The sequence below is a fragment of the Homo sapiens genome, chromosome 13 (genome assembly GCF_000001405.40).
Source record: "Homo sapiens chromosome 13, GRCh38.p14 Primary Assembly".
NCBI classification, from domain to species: Eukaryota; Metazoa; Chordata; class Mammalia; order Primates; family Hominidae; genus Homo; species Homo sapiens.
Genome location: NC_000013.11, coordinates 57,285,893 through 57,295,030, shown reverse-complemented (window position 1 = coordinate 57,295,030; position 9,138 = coordinate 57,285,893). Strand labels below are relative to the sequence as shown.

Sequence of the window (9,138 nt, the reverse complement as noted above, 5' to 3'; positions counted from 1 at the left end):
ATCATATTAACATAGTGACTATTATACAATATATTAGCATAAGGAATGGGCACATGTAAAGCTGGAGAAAGTGTGTAAATTTTTAACATTTGAACATGTGGCCAACTTACAAGAACAACTTAAACCTTTATGACATCTTATCATTCTGAGACAGTTCCTGGTCTTTTACAATGACATCAAAATTAAAATTTAATTTTTTCTGCAGAGTTAATAATTAGCCAATGTCAGGGAAGAAAAATAGTGAGAATTCATCCATTTTTATTGCTGTTTTGAAAAGGGAAGGGGAAATACTCCTTCTGTCATGGGCCACTGAATATTGCTATGTGATGGTGCTAAAATAGCTGTAAATATGGAAGTGAGTATCTCTCCATACCACTGCTGGTCCTATTTTAGGAATTTAGGAAAATATATTAGATCTTTCTTCACAAAGTGAGAAGTTATGGAATCTGTATACATCCAAATGTTAACTCAGTGTCCGAACTTCTCTTCACTCTAACATCAAAATTTTAAATATTAAATACCACAGTAAATAATCAAATTTCTCATATCCAAATGTGTACTACTTGATAAATTAATGTACTTAGCATACAAATCTCTAGGATGATTTGAATGAATAGATTAATGACTTCTAGTAACATATTTGGCTTGTTGGATGACATCCAATGACAGTATGTGTCCTCAATATTGTAAAATAATGGGGAAGTTGAGCTCAGACTTCTTTATTTGCTGTTTGTGCTAGCCCTCTACATATTGAAGTACCATTTAAAGACCCTTAGGAATAATAAGGTCAGTTCCCAACTTACTCCTAGCCCATTTCTCTACTTTATTATTCTTGTGACCAATTTGTTGCTCCCTGAAACTTTCATCTCCCCACAATCTTGAAGACTTGCTCCATACTCCTGTTTCTAATAACTTCCTCTAGGCCCCCTTTTTTTTTCTTTTTGTTCTCTGCAGGCTTCATTCCTAATGTATCTATCACAGATCTTCTGTTAACTGGGACGTTCATATATCCCCTTCGATTTTATAATTCTTGAAACTTTATATGCCGCTAAACTAAGTTCCTCAGAATACTCATCATTGAATACTCTTCTCTCTTTAACACGTCTTAAAAAAACTATAATGAATGTTAATACAAATTAATGTTTCATAAAACTATTATATATAGATATCTTATACATTGCCAAAACAGTATTTACGGCATTTATTTATAACGCAACTTTAATACTATCAGGGACAAATTTTCCTCAAGGTTTTCTCTCTCTCTTAGATGATATGGTAGGCTGAAAGATGACTCATGGAAAAATACCCATGTCCTAATTCAGGAGCCTGTTAATATGTTACTTTGCATGGCAAAGGGACTTTACAAATGTGATTTAATTATGGGCTTTCAGATAAGTAGACTACCTTGATTTATACAAGTATACCACAGTAGTCAGTTTCCCAACGGAGCCTGCCTGAAACCCTAACCTTGACCAAAACAATGATCATAACTGATGAGAGAGCCTGAAGCAGGACACCTACCCATCTAAACAGTCTCAGGATTCCTGGCCACAGAAACTATACGATAGTAAATGTACTTTATTTTAAGCTGTTAAATTTGTGGTTATACTTTAAATAGCAATTAATAACTAATAAATGTAGGGACAGTATAATTCAATGAAGGAAATAGTTTGTAATTTTCCCATAACTTTCAGTTTCCTTTCAAATTTTTTGGCTTAGCAGTCAAGAATGAATTTTCCTCCACCTCTGTTTCCAAATTTGCTATATTAATTTTGAAGTATTTTCAATTATCAGAAAGCACAGTTATTTCATGCCTCTGTGCTTCCATATATTTTGTTTTAGAAAAGCTTTTAGAAAAACACTATGCCTTTATCAAAATGGTTAACTTCTATTTAGTATCCAATATGTACCACAAGCCTTCTATTTCTGAGAATACTTCTCTGACTACCCAGACCTACTGAAAAATTCATGTTCTGTGTTGACAGCACAGGCAAATTCTTTGTTATAGCACTAATTCTACTGTATACAAATAGTTTACACATCTTTCTCCTACATTCATCTGTAAGATATTTAGGGTAATAGCCACATCTTAACCAACTTCATCCCCTGTGAATGTCCTAACAACAAATTAAAGATTAAACAAATTTTTGATATAGAGACAAGCAACAGCGTTCAGTAGTAAGACTCCAATAATTTAGTTTTAAAGAAATACTTCCAAAAAAGAACACTTCTTCTCAAATGTACTTGCCACTCTTTGTCAGTTCCTTTTTCGGGAATGCTATCCTTTCTGAATGAAATTCATTAGTTTTGTGCTTTGATTTTTTTTCTGATATCTTATTGTAAACATTATCAAACGCAAGGAAAGGTTGAAAGTATTTTATAGTGCATACTCATACAACCAACACCTAGATCCTACTGTTAATTTTTCACATCTATCCATGTATCCACACCTGCCATTTACCCCCTGAATCCATATTATTTTTGATACATTGCAAATAAACTACAGGCATTGGGATAGTTTCTGCTGAATATGTCAGTGTGAATGTAATTAATTTGTGTTACCACTCTTTGTTTAGTCAGTACTTCTGAGGAAAAACATATATACAATAAAATGTGTATTAAAATATTCACTTAAATGCATATTAAAATACTATTAAAATATAAAATACTGCCAGCCAGGTGCAGTGGCTCACGCCTGTAATCCCAGCACTTTGGGAGGCTGAGGTGGGCAGATCACAAGGTCAGGAGATCGAGACCATCCTGGCTAAAACAGTGAAACCCCGTCTCTACTAAAAATATAAAGAATTAGCTGGGCGTGGTGGCAGGCGCCTGTAGTCCCAGCTACTCAGGAGGCTGAGGCAGGAGAATGGCTTGAACCCAGGAGGCGGAGCTTGCAGTGAGCCGAGATCGTGCCTCTGCACTCCAGCCTGGGCGACAGAGCAAGACTCCATCTCAAAACAAAAAAACAAACAAACTATATATATATATATATATATATATATACATACACACTGCCAACACACTAAAATGTTTTTCTATATCTTTTTTCAGTCAGTTCCCTCCCCTTACCCTGGAAGCAAACATTGCTTTATAATTTTTTCTACCATACACTAGTTTTGCTTGTGCTACACCTTCATATAAATATAACACAACCTGTACTCTTTTCTGTTAGACTTCTTTTACTTAGCATTATGACTTTGAAATTCATCTAAGTTACTGTGTACATAAGCAATTTATTTATTTTCATCTTGAGTGATATATCATTTTATGTATATACTACAGTTTACCAATTATCCAATTTATCAATTACACTTGTCTTGAACTGGGTTTTGCTCATTATGAATATATCTCCTATGAAAACTCATGTGAAAGTATTTTTGTGGAGATTTCATTTTTTCTTGAGTAAATACACAGCTATGATCGTGCTAGGTCATAGAGTAGGTATATATTTAGTTTATTAGAAAGGCTACATCTTTTCCTAAGGTTGCCCCATTTTACAGTCTCCAGATGAAATTATCAATGTTACAGTTGCTTCACATCCTCCTATTTTTGCAAACATTTTGTATTACCATTTTTTTTAAGTTATTCTGTTGGGGAGGGTATCTCATGGTGGTTTTAATATGTATTTCTCTAGTATTAATATAGTTGTTTTAATATGTTTATTGGATGTTCATATATTTTACTATGTGAAACATCTGTTTAAAACTTCTGCCTTTTTATTTCTTTTAAATTCAGTTGCAGAAGTACATTATACAGCCTTTACATAGCTCTCTGTCAGATGCATATTCTATAAATGCCTTCTTTCAGTGTTTTACTTTACATTATTTTAATGGTGTTTTCTGATGTACAGATATTTTTAATGAAAACAAATTTGGCTTTTTTATTGTTGTTTTCTGTGTCTGAAGAAAATACTGCCTTCTCCTAAGTCACAACATATTTTCCTATTTTTTATATCTTTATAGTTTTATTTCTATGTTTAAGTTTATGATCCATCTTGAGCTAATTTTTATGTTTAGAATGAGGTAGGGGTCAAGTTTCATGTTTTTCCTTAATAATATACATACATTCTAGCTATATTGTTTGAAAATTCTTTCCCCAGTATGTTACTTTTTTTTTTGGAAAATCATGTGTATTCACTCATTTTTAATATACACTTAAAATATCATCTTCTGGGATGTATTTATACAACATGCCCAAAATATCTTAGCTGTGGACTTCTGTGTTTTCATAGGGTGTTGCCCATCTCTAGTATATCTCTGATTAATATCCATTATATTATTTTTAACATAAGTATTTCATTCACTAGAAAATCATCTCCACACAGGGAGAAAAAATTCTTGTTAATTTTGTTGTAGCCATAATATATAATTCTAATTTTGCACAACACAGACATGCATTTTATTTTGAATAAATAAATGGAGAAATGGTAAGTAAAAGTCCTGTTTTATCCATTGGGATTTAAATATACTAATCATTTACAAGAGAATTTTTGTATCTTTATTCTTAAAAATAAGGAATATGTGTAAATACCTATTAGGTGGAAGTCAATTGTATCATAACAAAATAAGTATGTACAACCTTGCATGTTCTTTACAGCTTCTTTTGGAAATTAAATAAAAATGAATTAAAATAAATGAAGAATGTTCAATAATAGCATATGTTCAAAACTTGCTAATTTGACAGACATAAAGTTATGTACTGATAATACAGATACATCATCCTTGCAAAAGGTCATGATCTAGTGAACTATATGTTTTTCTTGGGGTTTAGTATTTTTATTTAATTAACCATAAGTTTCAAATAAGTCACTGGCTTTTTGAGAAAGTGTTTATTTTTCACCACTTGCTTATTTATTCAGAGTATAATTTTTTTCTTTTACATAATATTGCTTGCTGTTTATGGGGGCTAAAAGTGTGATATATAATAAAGTGATAAGTACAAAACTGGTGAGTCCTCAATATGGGGCACAATGTTAATACAAAGAAAATGAAACCACATCATGTTTCTCCTTTTACTATGTTCCTGATGGCTTGTAAATAGCAATTTCACCATTTTGACTATAGGTAACATTCACATTTTTATCAAGCGGCATTTGTTTCTTTCTTATATGAGGAGTAATTACTTGTTATGCAACTGATGAATTTGAAAGAAAGGACCTGAACATATATGATTTAATTATTTCAGCCTGTTTCAAATGTCTACCTAAAAAAAAACAAAATCAATGCTTTTGAAGGTTTTGTTGTTATTACTGTTATTTTTGTGCCTACTAGGACAGACTCTGTAGGTAGAGTCAGACATCATTACCTTGGGAAGTTCAGTGATAAGTTCAGTTTAGAGTGTGATGGAGGGATTAGTTATCCTGTTCAAAACCACATTCTCCAAACTACCTTTGCTAGTCATTAAATGGACATATTTATTGACCTTTATCTCATTTCGATAAGTGTTTCTAATATGATTTCTAATTCAGAGGAAAGGGCCAACAGAGTACTTTCAACAAGCCCTGCAAGACAAGAACTATAATTAATAAGATTTTTAAGGAAGCATTAAAAAATACTAATACTAATGTGCCCCATACTGAGGACTCGCCATTTTTGTACTTACTGCTTTATTATATATCACATTTCAGCCCCCAGAAAGAGCAAACAATATTATGTAAAAAGAAAAGATTATACTCTGAATAACTTAAGTATGTTGAAGAACTAACCAGGTAACTTAGGATATAGTTAGTGAGTAACATTAGATTTATTTTTAATTTTAATCAATACCTAGGTTATATTATAAACATATGAGAGTCTGAGAGTTCTTGTTGAAATTCACAACAGAGGTATATAAATGTTCTCCTCATGTTGTTCTTTATTGATTTCTCAATCTGTTTTACAAGTTAGGTGAGCGCCTACACACAGGTTTTCTATGCATGCAACTTGGATGGAAATGTTTCCATTGATTTTGTATTATAATTACAAGTAAATATGAGCATATTCTAGATCAACGGGGTAAGAATTTAATGATGGACATGATATACAATTTTAAATACATCTATTGGAGGTTTGTTTTCATCCCTTTGATGTCATGTGATCAACTGATATGATATTGAATTTTGTTTATTTGGTTTTGTTTCTTTGCTTGATCTTTAAAAGTATTTAAATACATTATTTTAATTGAAAAATAATAGTTGTACATAATTATGATGTATTGATATACATATACATTGCAGCAAGAGCAAATCAAGCTAATTAACATATCCATCACCTCACCTACATATTATGTTTTGTGGTGAGTATGGTAGAAATCTACGTGTAGCAATTTTGAAATATAAAATATATTGTTAATTATGGTAATCATGCTGTACTCTAAAATGTATCTTCTACCTAGTAGAACTTTGTGCCTTTTGACCAGCATCTCCTCTTTCCCTACTCCCTGCCCACCTAGTCTCTGGTCATCATATTCTATTTTCTGCTTTTATGAGTTCAACATTTTGAGTAAAGTCATTCAGGATTTGTCTTTCTGCGCCTGGCTTATTTCACATACCAGAATGTCTTTCAGGTTCACCCATGTTGTTGGAATGACAGAATTTATTTTTTAAAAGTTGTGTGTATATATACATTTTCTTTATCTATTTACTCACTGATGTTCATTTTGGTTTCCATATCTTGGCTATTGTGAAAAATGCTGAAATAAACATAGCAGTGTTTTCTTGAATTTGACTGCAGCATTTTAAAGATCTATGCACCTGTAAGATCTATAGATCTATACACATGAGGGTTCTTAAAAATAGTTTAAAATAAATCTGTACATTATTCAAGTTTGAGAAACACTGTTCTAGAAATTATAACGTACTCCTTCCGATCATCAAATTTTATTAATAAGTTTTTTTTTATTTTTTAGAGGTAACTAATGTCTAATCTTTCCATCTCAACTGGAATGTATTAGGATATAGTATCATTATAATTTCTCTTGATGCTTTTACATAGAAGACACACTTATATAATGATATAATGTTCATTTGTTAGTTTGAATGACAACTTCTGCAAAACTGTCACCCTCTCTCCACACAGCCACTGATGAAATAGAAGGAAAAAAGTCCACAATGGTTTTTATATGATTTTACTTTGTTAAAACGGATTCATTCTACAAATGCAATACATAAATTATAAAGAATCTTCCCACAGTTGCCTCTGATGGTGAAAGCTTTTTGTATATGTGTGTAAACAAAGGATGGTAGGATTTTAAAATAGATAAAATATTACTATATAGTTATACAACAGATTTTTAATACTCCCAAACTCCTATCCTATCAGACTTGAAATGACCTAACATTAATATGAAATAACTTTGAAATATATTTTAATCACTATGATTTTACTTTTACACTCTATATTTTTATACTGCCTAAAATCAACTTTTTATTTCATTGTTTGAATATCTTTAAGCCAAACTGATTTTATTTTCTAAGAAAAATATTTAGACAAAGTTATCAAAGGACATTGATATTTTTCCGCTGACTGACAATCCGCATAACAGTTGCTCAGAGAGCTTTTCTTACTCCCAATTTTACAACTGCCAATCAATGAGGAAATCAACCCAAATAGGTTAATTTATCACTGCTGTTTTCAATAGAAGTTAGATACCCTCCATTTGTTGAGCTTACATTGCTTTCTGAAACTAGGATTTTAAGACTTTTTTCATATAGTGACTTATAAAAAAGCCTGAATAAGAAGTAAGAAAATTAAAGTTGATTCCATATAGCAAATAAACTACAAAATACTTTTAAAACACAAAAAAATGCTGAGAAGCTTATCAACAAAGAAAAGAACCAGATATTTCTTACCTATTTACATAATGGACATCTGTAAGCTTTGGTCTTGCTATTGAGAGGTGACAACGTGCTAGCAGCCCTCGCTCCCTCTGCACCTCCTCAGGCTGCGGTGTCCACTCTGGCCCCTCTTCAGGAGCCCTTCAGCTGACCGCTGCACTGTGGAAGCCCCTCTCTGGGCTGGCTGAGGCCGGAGCCGGCTCCCTCTGCTTGCCGGGAGGTTTGGAGAGAGAGGCGCGGGTGGAACCTGGGCCGCGCGCTGGCGCTCGCTGGCCAGCACGAGTTCCCGGTGGGTGCGGGCTCGGCTGGCCCCGCATTCCGAGCAGGCAGCTGACAATGCTGGCCCCAGGCAGTGAGAAGCTTAGCACCTGGGCCAGCAGCTGCGGAGGGTGCGCTGGGTCCGCCAGCACTTCCGGCCTGCCGGCGCAGCGCTCTAATTCTTGCCAGGCCTCAGCCTCTTCCCAGCGGGACGGGCTTGGGACCTGCAGCCCGGCATGCCTGAGCAAACCCCCACTCCCTCCGGCGCCGCCGGAGCCTCCCTGACAGGCGCCGCCCCCTGCTTCACAGCGCCGCGCCCCATTGACCGCCCAAGGGCTGAGGAGTGCGGGCTCGCGGCGCGGGACTGGCGGGAAGCTCCGCCCGGGATCCCAGCAGGAAGCTCCGCCCGCGATCCCCGTGCAGGATCCACTAGGCAAATCCAGCTGGGCTCCTGAGTCGGGTGGGGCCTTGGAGAACATTTATGAATAGCTGGAGGATTGTATATGCTCCAATCAGCACTCTGTGTCTAGCTCCGGGTTTGTGGATGCACCAATCAGCACTCTGTATCTAGCTAATCTGGTGGGGACTTGAAGAACTTTTATGCCTAGCTGGAGGATTGCAAATGCACTAATCAGCACTCTGTATCTAGGTTGGGGTTTGTGGATGCACCAATCAGCACTCTGTATCTAGCTAGTCTGGTGGGGACTTGGAGAACTTTTATGTCTAGCTAAAGGATTGTAAATGCACCAATCAGCACTCTGTGTCTAGCTCAAGGTTCGTAAACACACCAGTCAGTACCTTGTGTCTAGCTCAAGGTTTGTAAATGCACCAATCAGTGCTCTGTGTCTAGCTAATCTAGAGGGGACTTGGAGAACTTTTGGGTCTAGCTAAAGGATTGTAAATGCACCAATCAGCACTCTGTGTCTAGCTAAAGGTTTGTAAAAGCACCAATCAGTGCTCTGTGTCTAGCTAATCTAGTGGGGACTTGGCAAACTTTTGTGTCTGGCTAGAGGATTGTAAATGCACCAATCAACACTCTGTGTCTAGCTCAGGGATTGTAAATGCAC

General features: G+C 35.1%; 1 annotated feature.

Annotated features, from left to right (window-relative positions):
- Positions 8,251-8,857: an enhancer, noted in NCBI's record as "H3K27ac-H3K4me1 hESC enhancer chr13:57860308-57860914 (GRCh37/hg19 assembly coordinates)". NCBI's record gives its function as "activates a minimal SCP1, AML or CMV promoter by ChIP-STARR-seq in naive H9 embryonic stem cells {active_cell/tissue: H9 hESC(naive)}" and the evidence as "EXISTENCE:reporter gene assay evidence [ECO:0000049][PMID:30033119]".